Raw genomic sequence first — 21,424 nt, forward strand, 5'->3', positions numbered from 1 at the left:
CCCCATCACCCCAGGCTCAGGCTCTGAGCCCCCAAACCAGGACCAGCCCACTGGGTGGTGGCAGCAATTGGAGCACGTAATTGGGCCCACATCTGACACACAGCACTCAGAGCAGACCCCGTCCCGCACCATCAGTGCCATCACCAGCACCCACACCCAGCACACAACCCTGCGCTGCCTGCGCCCCTGGAACCCGCCCGCCACCACACGAGCTCACTGCCTCTGCCCCTGCAGGCCCCTCACCCCGCCTCACCCCCTCCCTCACTTACAGGCCCCTCACCCCGCCTCACCCCGTCCCTCACTTACAGGCCCCTCACCTCCACCACCACTCCTCCCCCACCCCTCCCTCACCCAAAGGGACGAAGTGCCCCAAACCCTCTTCCCACTGCTCCGGAGGGACCTAGACGAAACCCTGGCTGCTCTTCCAGAGGTCACGGCCCAGCACACGTGCCGGACGAGGGCGGCCGCAGAGGCCCAGCAAGGCCACCACACATGAGGTCAGGGCTGGATCTCCCTCCCCAAGTGGCTTTAGGCTTCCAGGAATAAGGCAGCACTGATGCCTGCCCCCGCTCCCAGGGCCCTGGGGCTGCCCCAGGTGTGGGACGCTGTGGCTGCCCCATGCAAGGGCCAGGACTCCCTGAGGCAGCACTGGGCGCTGCAGTCACCCCTGGGGGCAGAGCCCCAGAAGACCTGCTGGGGGGTGGGGGAAGACTGCTGGGGGTGGGGGAAGACCTGCTGGGGGTGGGGGAAGCCAGGAGATCCCTAGCGCAGAGGTCACACAGGGTCAAGGTGGGGTCAAGGTTGAACAAGAGTGGCAGGCGCCCAGGTGAGAGCTGGCAGAGCAGCGTCTGTGGAGCCGAGGCTGCGGGGGCTTGGAAGCAGGGGAGGGCAGACCTGTGCAGAGAGCCCTTGGCATAACTAACTCCATCTTAGGAAAAGACTCCATTTTGTCTCACAGGGCACTCTACCAAGAAGGATAAGATGTCTGTTTAAAAACCAAAAAGCAAAAAAGAAGAAAACCTGGCCATGCATGGCGGCTCACGCATCAGCACTTCGGGAGGAGGCCGAGGCGGGCAGATCACTTGAGATCAGGAGTTCGAAACCAGCCTGGCCAATATGGTGAAACTCTGTCTCTACTAAAAATACAAAAATTAGCCAGGCATGGTGGCGCAGGTCTGTAATCCCAGCTACTTGGAAGGCTGAGGCAGAAGAATCGCTTGAACCCAGGAGGCGGAGGCTGCAGTGAGCCGAGACCATGCCACTGCACTCCAGCCTAGGCAATAGAGCAAGACTCTGTCCCAAAAAAAAAAAAAAAAGAAACAAACAAACAAAAAAATGAAGACCAAGTCCAACCAGATAAGGACACACACAAGCCAGTCCTCCGTGCTCAGTTCTCCCTGGAGGCCTCTGTCTTCACCGCCGCTGTCTCACAGTCACCTGCAGCAGCCCAGGCCAGGCCTCTGGGCTGGTATTAACCCTCTGTCTTGTGTCTTTTTCCTCATGATGTTAAACCTGGCTTTGGGTGGAAAGTGGAATTTGACCAGATGAGCACACGGCAATATACGGTCTGCAACACTGACCAACATGGAGTGGCCGTGACCGCAGCATGACCCAGAAGCTCTAGGGAGAACCTGCCTGCTTGGGGACTCCACGTAGCTCGTGGCTTTTGTGATTGAAACAGCATCAATAAAAGCCTGACCCTGTGGAAAGACACAAACCCGCGTGGACCTCGTGTCAAGCCCATCCTGTGTGCAAAGTGCCTCCAGGACCTGGGGACTTGGGCAAGCTCCCTTCAGCCAAGAACAAGAGGGTGGCCATGCTGTTCCAGGCTCGATTCACGACGGACACCCCCACGGCTTCCCTCTGCCCGGACCCAGTCATCTCCCCACTGAACACCCTCTGGATGTGGGGAGGCCAGCATGGCCCCCTGCAGCCCCCCTCCCACTCGCTGGAGACCCCCAAGTCCAGGCAGCCTGAGTCCTCTGGCCTGGGCAGGCGCAGTCCCCATAGCTCCACCTTCCGACTCCCCAGCAGCGGCCTCTGCTGCACGGCCCAGGGCGTCCAGGGCAGGGAAGGCGGGGCACAGGGTGGTCCTCCCAAGATCTGCCCCGGGAAGGACCACGGCCGTGCTTCAGAAGCACCCGGGACCACACAGTCTGAAGCAGAGGTGGAGGCTTCGGGCACAGGCGGCCCGGCCAAGGTCAGCCCCACCAACTGCCCATTCCAGCACCAGAGCCAACTGAGGCCTGGCACTGCTCAGCCACAGGCAGCGGCGGCAGAAACTGTGCCTGTGAAGGCTCTGGCCCAGCACCCAAACCAAAGATGAAGGCGCAGGGGCCAAAGCCACATTTTAAAGCGTCTCATGTGAAAACTGTCAGCATCTCTAGCGTGAGCCCAAGTTCAGATTCTACCCACGTACACCCCGAGGACGTCCCAGCTCCATGCCATTGAGAAGCTGTAATCCAGTGCCTGCCTCTGAGCTGAGGGCAGCAGGCTGGAAACTCAGCACGACTTCCATGTTGCGGTCTTGAGGAAAATCCTTTTTCTTCCGGAAACCTCAGTCTTTGCTCTCAAGGCCTCAGCTGCTGGGACGACGCCCACCCCCACGGCAGAGGGTCACTAGCTTCACTTGAAGTCCGCTGAGCTAAGTGTTCATGCCGAAAAACACCTGCACAGCAGCGTCGAGGCAGGTGCGTGGCCACCAGCCGGGCACCATGGCGCAGCTGCGTGTATACAGAGTGTATGCATACAGTGGGCATCACGGGCTGGGAGAGGACACAGGGGCCTCGGCCAGAGGCCTGGGACTGCAGCAGGAACGGGCTGATTCAGCGGTGCAGGCACAGAACACCCTGACTGATGCTGAAGGACAGTGGTGGGGAGAGCCAGGTCTCTCGCCGGCAGCTCGGCTCCAGGGCAGGTCCAGGCCACACACCTGCCCAGGACCCCACCAGCTGGCCTGCAGCCACAGAGAGAGGCCCCACCGGGACCCTCCTCGTGGGAACTGGGAGCCTCCACACAGGCCAGCCAGAATGCCTCAGCCCGGGACGACGCGCCAGCCGGAGCTCCAGCTGCAGGGGCAGGGGTTGGGGCGGGGGCTTCCAGGAAGAATAGTCCCTGCAGGCTGAGGGGAGGGTCCAGGGCCTAGTGAGAAGCTCAAAGCGCAGCACCGCGTGTGGAGGCCGGGTGGGTCCAAGAGCCAGAGCCTGCCCCACGCTGCACCCCTCCCCGCCACCCCCAAGACCACAAGCCACAGCCAGGTCCTGCCCTATCCAGCTGCCGCCCCGCGGTGGACGTCGGCACAGCAGCACCAGGAAGGCCCTGTGTCGGGCACCCCAGGAGACACCAGTCCTCCGCCCGCCGCCACAGGCCCACGGCTTCCAGCTCGAAGGCACTGGCCCTGAGGCACCGTCGCCAGGGGGCACTCGGCCCCGCCCACGTGTGCGACCCAGAGGCCTCCGCCAGGACCCCGAAGCTCCCGGCTCCAGGCAGGGGCGCTGGCAGTGGTGCCGAGGCCCAGGCAGACAAACCATACGCAAGGGACGTCCCATTTCCAAGCCGCGATTAATTTCCTGTGCTCGTTGGCCAAGTTCTTCAATTAACTGAGCCCTGGGAAAAATGCGCAGACATCTCGTGCGCCTTCTGCGGGCGATCCTCTGTCTGCCTAACGGGGTTTTCTCTGAACTCTCAGCGGGGTAGGAGCAGGGGAGGACGCGGGGGTCCCTGGCTTCCCAGTCAGGAGCCCAGAGGCTTGGGAGGCAGGAGGGGCGCCGCGGGGACACAGAGGGCATCACACATCACAGGAGGGGCTCAGGGACCCAGCTCAGCCCAGCAGAGCCACGCACATAATCCTGTGGGCTTCCCGGAGGAGGCGTGTACAGGGGCGGGGGGGCTACAGGATACAGAGGAGTTGGCCACAGGGGGAGAAGGGGAAGGGCATTCCCAGCAGAGGGAGGAGCCGCTGGGGAGGCCTGGCGAGAGAAGGGCAGGCGTATCTGCATCCCACCGAGGATGAGGCTGACCAGACTTGAGAACAGGGCGGGGTGGGGACAACGACAGCCCCACAGACTTGAATTCTGAGTCCTCAGTGCCGCATCCAGGAAGGCAGCTCCTCGGGCTGCAGGGAACCTTCCTCTAAACTAAAAAAAACGAGGCCCAGGTCCCAAATGTTCAGGACTCAGCCTGCTTCCTAAGGTGGCTCCGACCAGGCATCTCAGAGCATTCCAGAAACCCTGGAGACAGAATGCAGCCGGATGCGGCCGAGATCTGTGGCTCCTCCCAGCAGGCGTGGACCAGGAGGAATAAAGCCAGAATTCAGGGAGATGAATCTCGCAGCCAGGCCCTCAGAAGGCTCCAGCTCCTTCCAGCTCAGCTTCCGCCCATCTGCCCCCGCCTCGCCGGCCCGCAGACCCTGCATGAAGGAAGCAGCTGCCCCTCCCGCCGCTGCCCCTCCTGCCACAGCCCCACCCGGAAAGTGCAGGCAACAGCTCCGACTTTTGTTTTTTAAGTTTTTGGAACAGATGGCACAGATGGCGCTGCCGGGGGCGGCCGGTGCAGGGGAGGCAGAGAGACGGACGTGCGAGAAGAGCCTTGGAGGAGGGAGGAGGCGGCACGGGGTGCGTCTGGGCCCGTCTGGGGGACGCAAAGATCCCGGTGCCTCGGCCGTGGCTCCAGGCCCCAGGACAGACCAGGGAAGAAACCTCCAAACTGCGGATAGTTCCCAAACGCACTGGCCAGCCATCCGGTCGGCCGAACCGTGGGGAAGACACAGGGGCTTCCAGGCCTCCGCCTACAAACCGTGGTGTCCCCAAGACATCCACACTCATGCCCATCTTAGAGAAGGGGAAACTGAGGCTCACTGAGGCAGGTGAGGGCCTCTGCCTCTGAACCAGGGGAGGGAGAGGGCGGCAGGAGACCCCTGATGGCATCCCCCAGGCCTCGGGAGAGGAGGCTCCCCGGGAACACTGGGACACACTCCCTGCCCATGTGGCCTCAGGGTCCCAGGCACGACGAGCGTCCAAATGTGGGACACTCCCTGAGGGCCAGCTGCCAGAGGCCTCTCGGGACGGGGCCATCACCACCTCAGACCCAGGCCCACAGTGTGGGTACAGCCCCTCCTGCACTAAGCTGGGGGACACAGCCCACCACGGGGCACTCAGCTGAGGTCTCGCTGGCTCGGCAAGGGCTGCCCGCCCCCTCCTGCCCAGGCAGCGGCCAAGTCTGCAGGAAAAGAAAGAAGAGACTTCCTACGGGAGAATGGGGGAGGATGAGGGGAGGACGGCGGGAAGACGATGGGAGGATGGGAGGACGGTGGGAGGACGCTGGGAGGACGATGGGAGGACCGAGCAGCTTCTCTGCAGCCCAGAATTACAACACAAAGGGTTTCGAAGCTAATTATGATAATGGGTTCAACTTCCGGAGCTTCCCTGGCAGCCGTTGCCAAGGAGATAAGGCAAGTAGCTGGTCCCCAGCCCCAGATTCAGGCAAAGAGTCAAGGTGGGGGCAGGGAGGATCCACAGAGCCCTGGCACCCACCACTGAGCAGAGGGGCAGGGGGACACCTGGACCGCGGGCGTCGGCTGGGGCTCACCGCACGTCCCTGACGCACAGCCCAGCCCCGTGCCCATCAGACAGCCCCAGATCACAAGAGAGGCCATGGCGGGGATCAGGCACCCCGAATGCAGTCACAGACTGAGCATGGAGCAGCGGGGGATCTCCTCCTGGGACCTGGGACCCAAGTGCAAAGAGGAGAAGTTGGGGCAGGGAGGGGCCCATGGGAGGGACCAAAGGGTCACCAGGCCAGAGGGGTGCCCAGTTAAGGCCGGACCACAGTCCTGGGGCCCCCACCGCCCAGTTAAGGCCGGACCACAGTCCTGGGGCCCCCACGCTGGCACCCTCAGGCCTTGAGATGCAAAAACTCCTCTACTCACGGGGCCCCCACCTCCGGGAGACCCCTGTGCTCACGGACCCCCCACCTCCGGGAGGCCCCTCTGCTCACGGGCCCCCCACCTCCGGGAGACCCCTCTGCTCACGGGCCCCCCACCTCCGGGAGACCCCTGTGCTCACGGGCCCCCCACCTCCGGGAGGCCCCTCTGCTCACGGGCCCCCCACCTCCGGGAGGCCCCTCTGCTCACGGGCCCCCCACCTCCGGGAGGCCCCTCTGCTTCACGGGCCCCCCACCTCCGGGAGGCCCCTCTGCTCACGGGCCCCCCACCTCCGGGAGGCCCCTCTGCTTCACGGGCCCCCCACCTCCGGGAGGCCCCTCTGCCCACGGGCCCCCCACCTCCGGGAGGCCCCTCTGCCCACAGGCCCCCCACCTCCGGGAGACCCCTCTGCTCATGGGCCCCCCACCTCCGGGAGACTCCTGTGCTTCCAGGTCTCCCCCGCCTTCCTTCCCCATTCTGGTTGAAGGGGATATTTCTTTTCTGGGAAAGCATGACACAGACGCCGCCACCCCGCTCCTCACTCGCTTCATGCACTTGGGGAAGAGGACTCGACGCAGGAGGGGTCTGGGCCCCCCGAGTCAGTCCCACAGCCAGCCCCCTCGCTCTGCGACTCTGGATCCTCCAGTCAGGCCCCTTCCCCAGAGGCTGACTCCAAGTTGGCCAGGGCTGTTCATCTCATCTTGCGTATTTAGTTAAATGAAAACGGAACACGTGAAGGATGGGCGGGCAGGAGGGAAGGCGTCACCACCTCACCGCCACCCTCAGCCCCTGCCTCAGACAGAGCCAGGGTTGGGTCAGGAGGGGCCCCTGACATCAAGACCCCACTCCCACTCCACGGGCTAAGCTTCTCAGCACACCCATGACCTGCCAGGAGGGAAGCAGCCCTACAGTCACGTGCCCATTTCACAGTCGGGAAAACAGAGGCTCCGGAGACTCTCAGAGGCCCACGTGCGGATTGGCCAGAGCTGGCTGGCTGCACGGCCCCCACCATGCACCCCTCTCCCACTGCAGGGGGTCCTGGGGGGTCCCACGCAGCCTCCTTAGGCAGAAATTCCCTGTCCAGAACAATGTCCATGCTGATGAGGCTGCACCTCCCCGGGGCTGGGGACCTGGGAGCCCAGCAGGGCCCCGGGGATGAGCAGAAAGCCAGCGTGAGGCCGGAGTGGGCACCAGGTCCAGGACTGCTCGAGCCTCCCTGGGGGCCCCGCTCGCCTCGTCCATTAGGCAGCCGCCACGCTGCAACCTGGAATCTAATTTCACCATCTAATGAACTGCTCTGTTTCCAGGACACACGCCACCTCCCACCTCAGAAGTGACGGGCGCGGGCGCCGCTGACAGAGTCCAGGCGTGAACCGGGCATGAACCAAGCGTGATGGATCACTGCAGACCGCCGGGGCTGGAGGGGACAAGGGCCACGCTCCTGCAGAGCTGCACACAGAGACCTCTCGCGTGGAGCCGCCTCATGCTGAGCACTGCGTGGCTTGTACCTGCCAGGCCAGGGTCCACCCTCATTCGGAGCTTCCGGCAGCACCCACCTGAGCCTAAGGCCATGGGGCAGGGACGGGAGGTGACCCAGGTGGGACCGAGCCTCCCAAACACTGGGTGCTCAACTGGACCCTGACAGGACACAGGTCAGGAAGTCTCAGGTCCTCAGAAGGCCCAGCTGCTAGCCTGATGCTCACGGCCTCCAAACGGCCTGGGCCTGCCTATGCCCGCCTGCACCCACCTGGCACCTACAGCCCTCCTTCCAACATCCTGGGCAGGGAGGCGCTCTCAGGGGGCTCTCGATGCCCCACACTGACCATGGCCCCAGGATGGCCACTTCCTTCAGCCAGCTGTGGCTCCCTCGGGAACAGGAGTGGAGGAGCTGGAGGCGGGGGTCCTGCCCACCTGCACGTTGCTCCCTAACCACTCCCGCAGCAGACGCCCAAGGCCCACAGGGACCCCCAGCCCCCTGCATTGCTGCAGCAACCACAGGTCCTTCCAGGGCCTTCGCCCCGGCCCAGAAAGAGGGGGCATCCGCCATGCACCCCAGGGGCTCTGGGAGCTGCAGCTGTGGGCAGACTCCCAGGCCCTGGCAGGAAACCCGCTGGCTCAGCACGTGGTTAAATCAGCTCCCCGGGCACTGCCTCGTGACTTCGCAGCGCCTGCTCACGGTCCCTGGAGACGGAAGCTCCGCAGGGCTCATTTGTTCTCCATTAGTCACCTGTCCCACCCAGACCACAGGTGCTGGACAGAGACCCAGCCGGTGCACCAAGCAGGGCTGGCCAAAGTGCCCAGCCCAGCCCCATGCAGAGGTCCTGGCCCGCCCTCCCCGACCCCGCAACCTCCCTGGGCTCGCAGCCCCTGGCCTGGGGTCCCCTGGACTTTACTCTTCCTCCCGGCATGCCCCGGCTACCCACTCTCCACTGCCCCATCCCAACCCACTGAGCCCGCAGAGAAGCGCCCCTGTACCAGCCACTTTGATCCCAGAAGCATGTGGAGAAGCTGGGTGGGAATGGCAGCCAGCATAGGCGAGCCCCAGGCCCTGAAGATAGACCCCACCCTGGCCTGGCCCTCGAGGCCGCTGCAGTGCCTCATGGTGGACCCCACGCGACCCATCCACCCTGCTCCCCTCCTGCCCTCGGCAAACGCCGTCCCTGCCCCAGGGCCTTTGCACGTGCACTTCCTGCTGCCTGGAATCCTCTCCTACCCGCAGGTCCCAGAGCCGCCCCCTCATCCCCCAGGCTTCAATCTCAGGTCACTTTCTCTGAAAGGCTGCCCGACCATCCCTTCCCCGGGCAGCCCCCAAGTCTCCCTGGTGTATTCTCTCCAGGGCCCTGAGCCTGACCGAGCACTGTCCCCCCAGAGCAGCGGTCTGCTCGCCCTCCCGGAGGCAGGACCCCACATCCTCTGCTCAGACAGTGGCCCCAAGTGCCCAGCCCAGAACCTGCACAGAGGCGTCTCCCCACATCCAGGCAGGCGGCAGCCAAGACCCTGCCCTGGCCAAGTTGAACCTGCTCGAGAGCCCAGGCTGGCAGCTAGGCCTGGGGCCCACACTCAGGCGTCACTGCACCACCTTCCGCACAGCGGGAAGAGCAAGGCGAGGGCTCCGGGAGGGGGCCTGTGTGGGTCTGGGGGGCTGAGATGAGGAGGGCACGGCCCACCCAGGGCACCTGGCCACATGTGACGCAGGCTTCGTCCCAAGAGGAATGACGAAATGTCCAGAGACACTCACCGCGTGTCCACAGCAGCCTCACGGCAGACGCAACCCAACATCCAGTTGGTGGGTGGGTAGATAAACTGAGGTCCGTCCGTGCGGCCACAGGAAGGACGAGGCAGCGGCCCCCAGACACGGAGAGGATGAAGGAGTACCCTAAACACGAAGGAACCTGAGGGCAGGCTCGGCAAGGAAAGCCAGGCACAAAACGGCACCACGATGACAACTCCACTTACACGAAACATCCGAAGCAAACAGGCCAGGCCCGGCGGCCACGCCTGTACTCCCAGAGCTTGGCGAGGCCGAGGCAGGAGGACAGCTTGGGCCTAGGAGTTCGAGACCAGCCTGGGTAACACAATGAGACCCCATCTCTACAAATGATTTAAGTTAGCCAGATGTGGTGGGGCACCTGCAGTCCCAGCGACTCGGGAGACGGAGGCTGGAGGATGGCTCGAGTCCAGGAGGTCCAGGCTGCAGTGAGCTGTGATTGAGACACTGCACTCCAGCCTGGGCGAAAAGAGACCCTGCCTCAAAAATAAATAAATTAAATAAAATAAAATAACAGGCACGTCACAGAGACAGGCAGGAGACCGGCAACTGCCAGGGACAGGGTGGGGCACACGATGGCAGAGGGCAAGAGTGTCCACATGGGGTGACAAGTTTTCAAATAGGGCTGGTGGCGGCAGACCATCACTAAATTCTCCACTCTAAACGCCTCTGAATTACTCGCTTTAAAATGCTATCTGCATGTTAGGATAATTTAACCTCTATTTTTAAAAAACAAAATAAACCGTGTTGTCAAGGTCTGGGACAGCAAGCGCACACAGGTAACCTGCCTGCCCATCAGTGGCTCTGTGCCTAGGGTGTCCACCCACCTGTGCCTCAGTTTCTCTCTGAATAGGATAGCTTTGGGTGGGGAGAGTTAACACTCACCACACCTTGTCCCCTCCAGACTCCTCCAGTCCATGGTGCTGTTGTCTCGGTAGGAAGGCTGGAATGTGGACAGGTGCGTTTACACTACAGGAAGCAGACGGCACCCGGGGACCTTGTGAGCTGTAGAATCGCCCCTTCTTCTGTGGCTGAAGCTTGGCTCTGGCCCTGGCCAGTGTCCCCATCCCAGCCCAGCCTACTCCTCCCCAAACCCGAGCCCCGGAGCTTCCCTGTCATGCACACCCCCATCCCCAGCACCTTTGGGGACCCCTGCTTGGCCTGGCCTGGGCTCCTGACCCTGCAGGTCCCTCCCTGGCCTTACCCAAGCCCTTAGCAGCTTTGGGGAGCAAAGGCTTCATGAGGTCCCAGGGGAGCTGGGGTGGAGAGGGGCTCCCCCCACCCTCAACAAGGGGGCTCCTCCTGAGACATCCCACACTCCCTTCATGGGCTCAAGCTGCCTGTCAGCCCCACCCGAAACCCATTCAGGTGCTGAGGGCACCCCAACAGTGGCACTCCTGACCGAGGCTCCCAGCAGGCCTTCCCCCCCACAGCCCCCTGAGACAGCCACGCCTAACCCCCTCCCAAGCAGGCCAGTGCCCTCAGCTGGTCCACGGCTCACAGCTCCAGTCCCTGGCCCCCTACAAACGTCCTAGTGAGTGCTCTCTCTCGGCCTCCACTTGCACACCTCCGGCGACGGAGGGCTCACCCCACAGAAAGAATCTCGTTCCAACACAAGCCCCTCCTGGGCCAGCCTGCGTCCTCCCTCTCCCCTCACCAGCCTTCCTGGCCAGGGTGGCCTCATCACCTAATCACATTCAGGCAGACCCGGGGCCTGCAGGACAGCCCTGGATGGGACACATGTGGATTCCCCAAGCCTCATGTGGACACGTCCCCAGGACAGCTGTGGTGTCGACATCCACGCAGGGACACCACACAACACAGGGACTCTGCCGTCATCCATGTCCACAGGTGGCTGGACAGGTGCTGCGGCAGCCCCAGGTCAGAGACAAGCCAACTACCTGGCACGCGAGACTCATCTTGCCCATGAGAAGTGTGGACAGTATGCCGTTAACACCACAGCGGGACGGGACCGCCTGAATCCTATTCTGTTTAGAAACGCACAGGCGGGCGCAGACACCTGGAAAGAAACCAGGAAGAGCAAACGTCCTTCCCTGTTTTCCACGCTTTCCCAGTCTCCTGCGGTGGATGTGCTTACTTTGCAGTCAGAAGAAAATAAGCCACGACCAAACGTTTATTTAAGAAACGAGGGCGGCAGGGGCCGCCAGACCCCCTCACCCTGACAGACGCAGCCCTGTCCACCCGCCGCTCAGGCCAAGGCCCCCCCAACTTTCTTCACGTGATCTTAACTCAGCTCTTGGCTAATTAAATGGCACCCGTGGGAAGGGATGGTCTCAGATAAGCTGGCTCAGTGCTAATTGTAAAGGAGAGAAGCCGGTCGTGTACCTTGCCCCAGCAGCCACCCCCCACCGATCATTCCTCGGGCACCTCCCAAACACCAGCCCCTTCCCCATAGCTGCCCAGAGGTGAGCCAAGCCCCTGACTCTATGGCCTGGGCGGATGCCAAACAAGAATCACACAAGGGGATCCTCTGGCCCACGAGGAGCCGCAACTGCAGCTCCTGGTCAGGACCATGGCCAGCACCCCGGGGGCCGGCCCTCCTCCCCCATCCCCAAGAGTGGCCCCAGAGCCTAATCAGGTAGGAGGGCAGAAATATCACCTACCCCAGGCAGCAGGGAGGAGGAGGCTGCACCTACCCCGGGCAGCAGGGAGGAGGAGGCTGTACCTACCCCGGGCAGCAGGCAGGAGGCTGCACCTACCCCAGGGAGCAGGGAGGAGGCTGCACCTACCCCAGGGAGCAGGGAAGAGGCTGCACCCACCCCAGGGAGCAGGGAAGAGGCTGCACCTACCCCGGGGCAGCAGGGAGGAGGCAGCACCTACCCCGGGGCAGCAGGGAGGAGGCTGCACCTACCCCAGGGAGCAGGGAGGAGGCTGCACCTACCCCAGGGAGCAGGGAGGAGGCTGCATCTACCCCAGGCAGCAGGGAGGAGGCAGCACCTACCCCAGGCAGCAGGGAGGAGGCTGCACCTACCCCAGGCAGCAGGGAGGAGGCTGCATCTACCCCAGGGAGCAGGGAGGAGGCTGCACCCACCCCAGGGAGCAGGGAAGAGGCTGCACCCACCCCAGGGAGCAGGGAAGAGGCTGCACCTACCCCGGGGCAGCAGGGAGGAGGCTGCACCTACCCCAGGGAGCAGGGAGGAGGCTGCATCTACCCCAGGGAGCAGGGAGGAGGCTGCATCTACCCCAGGCAGCAGGGAGGAGGCAGCACCTACCCCAGGCAGCAGGGAGGAGGCTGCACCTACCCCAGGCAGCAGGGAGGAGGTGGCACCTACCCCAGGCAGCAGGGAGGAGGCTGCATCTACCCCAGGGAGCAGGGAGGAGGCGGCACCTACCCCAGGCAGCAGGGAGGAAAATGCACCTACCCCAGGGAGCAGGGAGGAGGTGGCACCTACCCCAAGGAACAGGGCATCTGCCCCCACATCAACCACCTGAGCAGCAGGCAGCCTAGAGTGGTGCCCCAGAGCCTCCTCTCCCTGCACACACCTTCTGTCTCCAGCCTGGACGGGTTTCCACAAAAATGTAACTTTTCAATGACAGGAAAAGTGAGTGTTAAACTTCTCTGCATATTTGGTCCTTTGGGATGAGAACATTTTTACAGCCACCAGGCAGCTTCTAGGAATTCATCCTGCCGACCTGCACCTTGCGTGAAGATGTGCATGGAGCCCCACGCAGCACCATTTGCAGCGGCAAAGTCCTAGCACCTGCTTCAAGGTCCATCACTGCAAACCGGTCAGAGAAGTCGTGAGCGCCCGACGGAGCCTAGAGGGGGACATGCAGGGAGAGGGGGCCACACGCACAAGGCAGGACACGGAGTGACTCCACACATGTGAAAAGAAGTGAGTGAACACACACAGACACACACATGCTGTACCGTGGCACGCATGCAGAGAACGGCTCCAGGAGATGGGCCATGGCTGACCCGGTACGGAGATGGGGCAGCGCAGAGGGGGCAAATCATACTGGCTGGACATCATTTTATATATTTCAGGGTTTCCGTGGGTGTCTTTTCTGTGTGTGTGTGTGTGTGTGTGTGTGTGTGTGCACATGTCATGTGAATTTGACCTATTCTGGAAGAACGGGTAAGAAGGGGGTCATCTCCCAGCTACTCAGGAGGTCAAGGCAGGAGGATCGCTCAGGCCCAGGAGTTCTGGGCTGCAGTGAGCTACAATCACACCACTGCACTCAGCCTGGGCCACAGAGCGAGACCCCCACACTTAAAATAAATAAATAATAGAATACGGACATCAGGCCCTGCCTGGCCTTATCTGGTCTACAAAGGGGACTCCAGGCTGCCTCCTGCTCCGTCCTGGGGTGGCGCTCCCCGATATCCCTGCCTCCCTGACCACCCTACTCCAGGAGAAGGAAGCCCAGCCGGCCGAGTGCTGCTGCCCTTCCCCAGGGCTCAGCCTCCATGACAAACTTTAAAGTCCCACACACGTGCCCTCTGCACCCTGAGTCCCAGCTTAGAACCCTGCACCCGCACACAGGGGCAGAAACACATTAACCAGGCGCCTCCGGCCTCCCGCCCACAGCCCCTCAGGGCAGACATCCCAACCTCTCATCCCTGCCCGAGGCTTCTCCCCACCTCCTCCCAGGACAGGGAGCCAGGCAGAAACTGGCCTTTTGCTCCCACTCACCCTTCTCATGTTTTTTCCAAACCTAAACAGAAAAGCAAGCTCGAAAGTTCTCAGGTGTTCAGCTTACGTCACGGGTAAGGGCTCCATGGGGAGGAACAAAACTAGAGAAGACCTGGAGGATGAGGCGGGGGCAGACAGAGGCAGCAGATGCCTCCACGCCACAGATACAGAGGAAGAATCTAGAAGGAGGCTCCCTGCAGGCTGGGCAGCCTGGAGCCCAGCCCCTGCCACACCCCCAGGAGCTGCCCGTCCGCCCCCACTGAGATGATTCAGGGATGGGAGACTCCGATTGTTCAACCCACTCCCCGCCGGACTTCCTGGAGCAACCATGCTCTCCTATGCATCCACAAAGCCATTCCCAGCAACCCAAAAAAATGAAAGACCTAATTTTGTTCAAGCTGGGTAGGCAGCAGAGCCTAATGTCAGTTCCAGAGCACGTCTGGAAAACATCCTCATCCCCAAAGCGAGGCAGCCACTGTCTGAAAACCACCACTCCCCCTGCGAGAGGCCGCCCAGCATCCCCTGTCTGGGGCCAGCACAAGCTGCTGGCCCTGGGCTGGGAGCTCTGGGCAGCTGGTGGCCAGAGAGAAGCCTTCTCAGAGGCTGGCCTCTCCACTCAAGCCGATGTCTCCTGTGGGGGTGGAGGGGCCGCCAAGTGCCCCGAGGCCTCGGGGCAGGTACCTTAGCCTCACCCACCCCAGCCCCTCACCTGGCACGGGGTCTGTGGTTTAGACAACAGAAGGGACATGAAGCTCTGTGGAGAGCTCCCGTCGCCCCGTCCTCCACCACACATCATCCTGGGGACCTGCGTGTGATGCCCCCCACGCACAGCAGCCTGCACCCCAGGGCTATGAGCCCCTTTCAAGACTGAAGCTCCCACCGGGGCCGCCTAACCCCACAGGGAGCACAGCACAGGCCCACTGCTAACAGGAGAAAGCACCTGCACACTAGCTCCCCGACGCTGGAACAGGGCCATGGCCCTGCGCCCCACACTCCAGCTCCACTCTCCACAGGAAAAGGCTCCCAGAATCCAGCCACTCAGTGTGTGGGGGCAGGGGCCCTGCTGACTTAGAAACAAGTGGCACATTGATCCGCATTCAAACTTGCCAGCCAATCAACCACAGCCCCGCGCACAGACTCTCCCAGGTGGGACTGAGGGGGTCTCCCCTGTCCTTGGCAGGGGCGTCTCCCCCACGCACCCCCAGTCCCGTCCTCTCCACAGGCTCCAGATGCCCACATCCCCAGAACACTCAATGGGACAACTCAGAGCAGGTTACAGAGAAAGAAAAGCCACACAAGCTCACCAAGGGCACGCTATTTCAGAAGTGCCTTCTCCTCCTGGAAATGTCGACCCCAAAGCTCTCACTGGGAAACCTCTGGCCTGGCCCCGGGAAGCGACAGGCGCAGGTTTGGGGCTGAGGCCGTCCCAGCAGCTCTGTGGCCTGCCAGACCTCAGAGCACTCCCATCAGGGGCCACAAGAGCAGAGAGCTCTTCAGCCCCATGTTCTCCTGGACGAATTAAAAGCACGACCCATCCCAGCTTCAGAAAACAAAAAGTCTAACCCTCCATTTCCCAGACTCCAGACCAACCTATTTGCTAAGCAGCATCCTGAGCCACTCCCTCCTCCAGCTCTGTGGGTACAGCTTTCTCAGGCTAAAGGGGAAACAGAGGGGCTTCTCAGGGCCCACCCGCCTTGTGCTGGCCGCCTCCCTCACACCCCCTCACCCAGGAGCCATCAAGGACAGAGCCTCCTCCTGCAGGGCCCACACTCCATCACCCGCTGCTGAGGCCAGCGGTCGGCAGGGCCCTGCCACTCAGAGCCCACTAGGGAGGCAGGAACCAGAACCCACTCCGAAATCAACAGAGAAAGCTCGGCACACGGGCTGGTGAGCGTAGGGGTCGCACGCAGGGGCCAGCGGGAGCCATTTCCAGAGAGTTCCTCGGCGACAAGCTCAGATCTGCAGGCCCCTCCTCCTTCGACCTTGCATCTGTTAGGCGTGTTGAACAGGTGCCGCCCACCCTACCCAGGACGCGCTTCCTCCTCTGAGGATGTCCAGGGCCCTCCCCTCCACAAAGGCACCGTTTTGAGACTCCCAGAGCTGTCAGCCAAGTGTTGTCGGAAGGCAGAGCTGAGCTCCAGCCCTGCAAAGGGCATCCGCGTTCCGGGCACCGCCGTTTCCGCTCGACGCTCCGTGCTAAAGGCGGCCTCATGGCTGGGCGCGTGTCGGTGCTGAGGCGTCCCGGCGGGTCCTCTGCTGCCGTCCCGAGGCGGCCCGGCGGGTTCTCTGGCGCGGTCTGCGTGGAAACTAGAAGCTTGCACTGCAGCTCTTTCACAGCTTAAGGGGTTCCCTGGTAAAACCTGCCCACAGTGGTTTCTCAAGCCGAAGATCATTCCTGTCCTCCAAGCCTCAACCCTCAGGATGCTGGGAACACGCCGGAAGCCACGAACAGGAAGACAATCCCCCAAACTACCCGGCACACACAGGGCAGGCACCTTCGTTCCAAGTGAACAGCCGGCATCTCCGCGGCCGGTCCCACACGACAAACAGGCAAGCTTCCCACGCTCGAGCCCGGGCCCCGCGCTTCAACCCACGACCCCCGCAGGCTTCCCACGCTCGAGCCGGGGCCCCGCGCTTCAACCCACGACCCCCGCAGGCTTCCGACGCTCGAGCCCGGGCCCCGCACTTCAACCCACGACCTGGCCCTCAACAGCAGCGCAGGCCTCTCCGTCACGGCCCAGCCGCTGACCAATGGGACTGAGAATCGGCCGGAGGGGCAGAGCGACGCCGTCCCGGACCGGCCAGCCATCCTCCCTCCTGGCCTCCACGCTCCGTCCGGGGTGAGGCCTTCCACTCTGCTGAAGGAGCCTCACGGTCACGGCGATGACAGCTACGAGCTTGGGGAACATCGCACGCATCAGGCATCGTGTGGAGTGACTCACACGTTGAATCCCGGCGGCCATCACGTGACACAGATGCAGACAGGTTACCCCCACCACGCAGACAAGGAAACTCGGGTCTAGGAGCCCGACGCTGGCCAGTCTCAGGATGACGCCCCCGGCCAGAGCCCCAGCCCTGCCCTCCCCGAGCCTCACGCCCCACGGGTCACGCAGGGTCTTCACAGGTCACGGCCACACAGGAGCACGTCTCACACGGGCGGAAGCACAGAGGGGAGCGGGGCTGCGTCCACAGACCGCGCACACACGAGCAGTTTCCCGTCTCAGAGCTGCCTGGCATGCACACTGGAAAATAGTTAAGACAGCCCCCCGTGAGGTAACACGCTTGGGCTCTGTCTGTGATGACAAGATGTCGGACACAAGGCCAAGGTCTCCCCCGGGGGACATCGCAGGCATCACCCCACCATCCTTGCCCCCCATCCTCCCAAAACGGGCACATTGCTCCCGCCTGAGCCTTTAACAGGACACGGCCTGGCCGCTGGCCCCAGCCTCCCGTCAAACCTCAAGTGGACCTTCGGAGGGCCCAGGGCACAGGCTGCCCCTCCCCTGCCTCTGGGCAAGGCAGCTCGGCCATCCCATATCCCTTCTCCCCATATTCAAGGCCCCCACAGGTCCCCCTTGGTCCTCCAGACTTGCCCATTTTCCTAGGAGGGAACCCACTCTGTGTAGCAGATTCATCTCCCCACACTGGAAGCAGCTTCAGGCCCAGCTCCTCTACGGCTCCTCTACGGCTGCGGAACGTCATTCCTACAGGGCTGAGGCTAGCCCGGCTCCTGTGCAGCTATGGAACGTCACTCCTACAGGGCTGAGGCTAGCCTGGCTCCTCTACGGCTGTGGAATGTCATTCCTATGGGGCTGAGGCTAGCCCAGCTCCTGTGAGGCTATGGAATGTCACTCCTACAGGGCAGAGGCTAGCCCCGTGCTCTTGCGAGCAGCTGCCAGACGGACTTGCTGAGTGTGCACACAGGGGCCATGGACGTGTCAGGAGCACAGGGACTAACGGAGATCCATAGATTCATTTGTTTATTGACTAAAACAAACTGGGAAAATCACTATGTTAAGCCACTCTCCACCACTGGACTCAGCCTGTGCCGTGAGAAGTGACCCCAGTTCTGAAACACTCCAGGATTTAAGCATTTTCAAAACTGGAGACAGGATTCCCACGTGGTCAGCATCCTGGGGGCCGAGAATCCTTAGTGCCCAGCAGTGCCCATATCCAGGGCGCCGGCACCTCTGGAGAGACCGCGTCTCTGCAGAGATTGGCTTGCAGTGATTTCTAATAAAACAGATTTTCTCTGCTCTCACTGTGGAATGGTCAGGAGGAGAGTTTCTGCTTATCCTTTAGCTCCTATCCTCTCACAGACACAGAATGTGCACAGAGATTGACTCCACTGTGTAACTAAGCAGCATCATGTACAATGTCTTATCACTCCAGAGTAATTTCACTTTAAATTATTTGGTGAGGGGCAGAAATCCTGCGAGGAAGCCCGAGACCTCCCAAGGGGTCCAGGAACCAGAGAAATCCAGGTTTCCCCAGAAACCACAACTCTCCGAGGCTTCTTCACCTTTTGGGAAATTTCCATAAGATTTCCTACACAGGAGGCTGTGGGAAGAAGGGGAATGTGGCCGTTCAAGCACTCGAGTCTCTTTCTCGGCACACAATGCTCCGTCAGCAGAGACTGGACCCTGGTCCTGCCAGGGCCCCGCTCTGTGCTGGGTAAAGCCCAGGCCTGCACTCACCCCTCAAAGCAGCCTGACCAAGAAGAGAGTGTCTGAACCCCACCACTGTGCCAGGCGCCTGCCCACCCCAGCCAGCCCTTCGAGGGCTCACACCAGCCCCAGAGCTGAATGAAGGGGTGGGAAAGAGGCCCAGCGGCCTGTGCTCAGCACCACCCGAGTTCTCCAGGACTGTGAGGGGAAGCGCCTGGGCCCCGGCACCGGGGGACTTGAACATAGGCCCTCCGTCCCAGGCCCTTCCCTGCAGTGAAATGGGACACAGCACCTGGTCAAGCAGCCCAGGGCCAGAGGCCCCTAAAACCCTGGACCCCAGCTGAGGCCTGGCGCAAAAGCCAGGATGGCACAGCGAGCCCCAGGGACAGGCCCTCCCCGGTGCCAGATTTCCCATCTGGCCTATTTTAAACACAGCTTCACTCTGGCCACTCCACGTGGCTGGGCTGCTGGCAAGATCAAGCAATCTGCACCCCCAAGCTCTCATCTCAGGCTGGGACCCCCCCTTTCAGTTAAGCAGGACAACTCTGGAGCTCACTCAACCTTCCTCTGCCTCAGTTTCCCCATCCACAGGAACCAGGCTGCGTGACCCTCTGGCAGGCTGTAACTAAGCGGTAACTGAGGTCCGCACCCAGCGGGAACAGAGCGGAGCTCCCTTTCCCACACCCAGCAACCCACGCGGGGATCCTGGACGAGGAGGTTCAACTCCGTGGTGGAGCAGTGCCCGGCTCCAGTCCTATGCGCAGATGGGCTGCAGGAGAGAGGCTGGAGCCCGGGATTCAGGCTCCGAAGGGCCCCCCATGGTGATCTGGCCCAGAGTCCCCTGCGGCAGCCCCAGGGGCACATCATCTGCTAGTTCGGGCCATTTCTGCAGCTCACACTCCCTTTGGGAGGTCTGGGAGAGGTGGCCCAGCACCCCGCCCCGACCAGGCAGAGAGCAGGTCTGACGCCCTTCTAACTCAGAGAAGGCCCTGTCTCCAGAGCCTCTGGGAAAGCACCCAGGCAGTGCGAGCAGAGGCCACGGCTCCCACAGAGGAGCAACAGTGGATGAAGTCCCTCTCTAACTCAGTGCTGGACGTCCCCACCTCCCCAGAGCGGGGGCAGCAGGGGCCTGGCCTGACGCCCACCAAGCCCTGGGGCCATGGGGCAGCAGCCACCGCCCTCTCTACCCCAGACAGTGGCTACCCCGGGTCCAACAGGGATGCCCAGAGAGGTTCTCACAACTTGACCTCTCCGAAGCCAGACACTGGTGGCAATAGGCAAAAGGCAGGTGGGCCTGGGGACCTGTATTCAGCCACAGCTGGGTGCGGCAGCACAAGGAGCCCTGGCCTTCCCCCCACTCCCGGCTGCCCCAGGCCCAACTGAGCTCCGTCTCCGTTTAGCTGATGAACAAACAGACCAAATGCTGCCTAACACGCCACACGGGCCAGTCCATGCCGGGCCAGAGGACATGGGGCCATCAGGCCTCCCAAGTGGAGGTGGGGGCTGCACTCCAAGGATGGGCTGGGCCACGGGGACAGCAGCAAACACCACACCAGGGGTCTGGGAGCCGGGCGGTGAGCTGCACCAGCAGTGCTGAGCCACATCCCCTTTCACAGAGGGCACTGGGCCGGCCTGGAAGAGTGTGATGCCCCCCAGCAGTGGTGTTCACAAAGCCCTGGGTTGAGAAGCAGCTGTGCCGACGTTACCGACGGAAAACTGAGGTTTGCAGAGGTTCTGAGACCAGCCCCCAGTGTCCAACCCGAGGCAGGACCAGAAACCCTGCTCTCCAGCCCCGCCGCTTAGAAAAAATCCCCCTCCCAAAGGGGCCGCCTCCCTGAGTCCAAGCCACCCCTGCCCACAGCAAAGGAGCTGAGGAGAGCCTGGGAGCTCAGGGAGGTTCAGGGAGCTCCGTGCCCACAGCAAAGGAGCTGAGGAGAGGCCTAGTGCAGGCTGGAAGGCGGGGCTGTTCAGACGTTGAGGGTCTCGCCTGAAGCCCCCGCATGCTGCTGCTCTATCTTAGAGGGGGCCCGTCCGGACTGGGGGTGGTCAGGAAGAGACGGCTCAGACCCCACATGTGCAAGTGTCCCCATGCTTTGCCCCAGTTCTGGACTGCTGCTCTCAGGAGGCAGAGACAGGAAGGAGAGACAGAGGGGCTGACCCACGCAGGCCCAGGCAGGGGGCGGCCATGCGGAGAGCTGCTGACCCAACGGGAAACCTCAGGAACAGCCACGCTGGGCCCTTGGATCATGGACTCAAAGCAGAACCAACCCTGGGTCAGACGCAGAGCGGGGCGCTGGCCAGGCTGTCAGGGCAGGAGGGTTGTGGGGGTGGGTTCTATCCTACCCTCCTCCGGGGAGTCACCTTGGGCAGGGACCTGGCTGACCAGTACCGGCCCACCAAGAGCCCCTTTGGCCCCCAGCCAGGTGGGGGCCATCAGGGGAGGCCATTCCTGAGAACACAGAAGCTCATCTGGGGATTCGGGAATGAACCCTGGACTGGAAAAGCTAGACTCACCTCCTGGGGGCCACAGGGCTTCCAGGACCCAGGAGGTCGGAGAAGCTTCTGCTTGGGGAGTCCCAGGCTGGGTGCCCAGGGGCCCTCCACGGAGACACCCTCCCTGTAAGCGGCCTGGCATTTCCCTCTGGGATCTTCTCCCTACCCCAGAACCCTCTCATATCACAGTCCACGGAGGGTCTGCTAAGGGCACACTCAAGGCCACACGCAGGCTGGGGCACACTCGTGGGGCACACACCCCTCTCGGCCCAGGTGGGCGCCCGACCAGCTTGTGACCAGTCTGCCCCTCACTCCCATCCCAAAATGCCTCTCACACAAAATGGCCGGTCCCGGAGCTCAGCGGGTCCCTTGTTCAGCTGGGATGGGAGAGCAAGCGCCCTGGCGCGGGGAGGCTGTG

At 62.5% G+C, this 21,424-nt stretch overlaps 1 protein-coding gene across 13 annotated transcripts in view, besides 6 other annotated features; it reads right to left on the reverse strand.

Moving 5' to 3' along the window:
* The window catches only part of KCNQ2 (potassium voltage-gated channel subfamily Q member 2), a 72,448-nt gene that overhangs the window by 49,630 nt on the left and 1,394 nt on the right, over positions 1–21,424 (reverse strand). The window contains exon 1 of one of the 13 annotated variants that reach the window (XM_017027843.2): positions 9,159–9,474. The exons of the other annotated variants lie outside the window; for them this stretch is intronic. Coding sequence (XP_016883332.1) covers positions 9,159–9,385 — 227 coding nt within the window. The 5' untranslated portion in view covers positions 9,386–9,474. Of the gene's footprint in view, positions 1–9,158; positions 9,475–21,424 lie in introns of those variants that run through there. 13 annotated transcript variants of the gene reach the window in all.
* Positions 4,635–5,498: an enhancer, noted in NCBI's record as "H3K27ac-H3K4me1 hESC enhancer chr20:62085825-62086688 (GRCh37/hg19 assembly coordinates)". NCBI's record gives its function as "activates a minimal SCP1, AML or CMV promoter by ChIP-STARR-seq in naive H9 embryonic stem cells {active_cell/tissue: H9 hESC(naive)}" and the evidence as "EXISTENCE:reporter gene assay evidence [ECO:0000049][PMID:30033119]".
* Positions 5,499–6,362: an enhancer, noted in NCBI's record as "H3K27ac-H3K4me1 hESC enhancer chr20:62086689-62087552 (GRCh37/hg19 assembly coordinates)". NCBI's record gives its function as "activates a minimal SCP1, AML or CMV promoter by ChIP-STARR-seq in naive H9 embryonic stem cells {active_cell/tissue: H9 hESC(naive)}" and the evidence as "EXISTENCE:reporter gene assay evidence [ECO:0000049][PMID:30033119]".
* Positions 6,613–7,536: an enhancer, noted in NCBI's record as "H3K27ac-H3K4me1 hESC enhancer chr20:62087803-62088726 (GRCh37/hg19 assembly coordinates)". NCBI's record gives its function as "activates a minimal SCP1, AML or CMV promoter by ChIP-STARR-seq in naive H9 embryonic stem cells {active_cell/tissue: H9 hESC(naive)}" and the evidence as "EXISTENCE:reporter gene assay evidence [ECO:0000049][PMID:30033119]".
* Positions 11,606–11,806: a silencer, noted in NCBI's record as "peak4316 fragment used in MPRA reporter construct". NCBI's record gives its function as "represses an SCP1 promoter by STARR-seq MPRAs in K562 erythroleukemia cells {active_cell/tissue: K562}" and the evidence as "EXISTENCE:reporter gene assay evidence [ECO:0000049][PMID:32103011]".
* Positions 19,184–19,916: an enhancer, noted in NCBI's record as "H3K27ac-H3K4me1 hESC enhancer chr20:62100374-62101106 (GRCh37/hg19 assembly coordinates)". NCBI's record gives its function as "activates a minimal SCP1, AML or CMV promoter by ChIP-STARR-seq in naive H9 embryonic stem cells {active_cell/tissue: H9 hESC(naive)}" and the evidence as "EXISTENCE:reporter gene assay evidence [ECO:0000049][PMID:30033119]".
* Positions 19,917–20,647: an enhancer, noted in NCBI's record as "H3K27ac-H3K4me1 hESC enhancer chr20:62101107-62101837 (GRCh37/hg19 assembly coordinates)". NCBI's record gives its function as "activates a minimal SCP1, AML or CMV promoter by ChIP-STARR-seq in naive H9 embryonic stem cells {active_cell/tissue: H9 hESC(naive)}" and the evidence as "EXISTENCE:reporter gene assay evidence [ECO:0000049][PMID:30033119]".

Source organism: Homo sapiens, chromosome 20 (genome assembly GCF_000001405.40).
Source record: "Homo sapiens chromosome 20, GRCh38.p14 Primary Assembly".
Classification (NCBI taxonomy): Eukaryota; Metazoa; Chordata; class Mammalia; order Primates; family Hominidae; genus Homo; species Homo sapiens.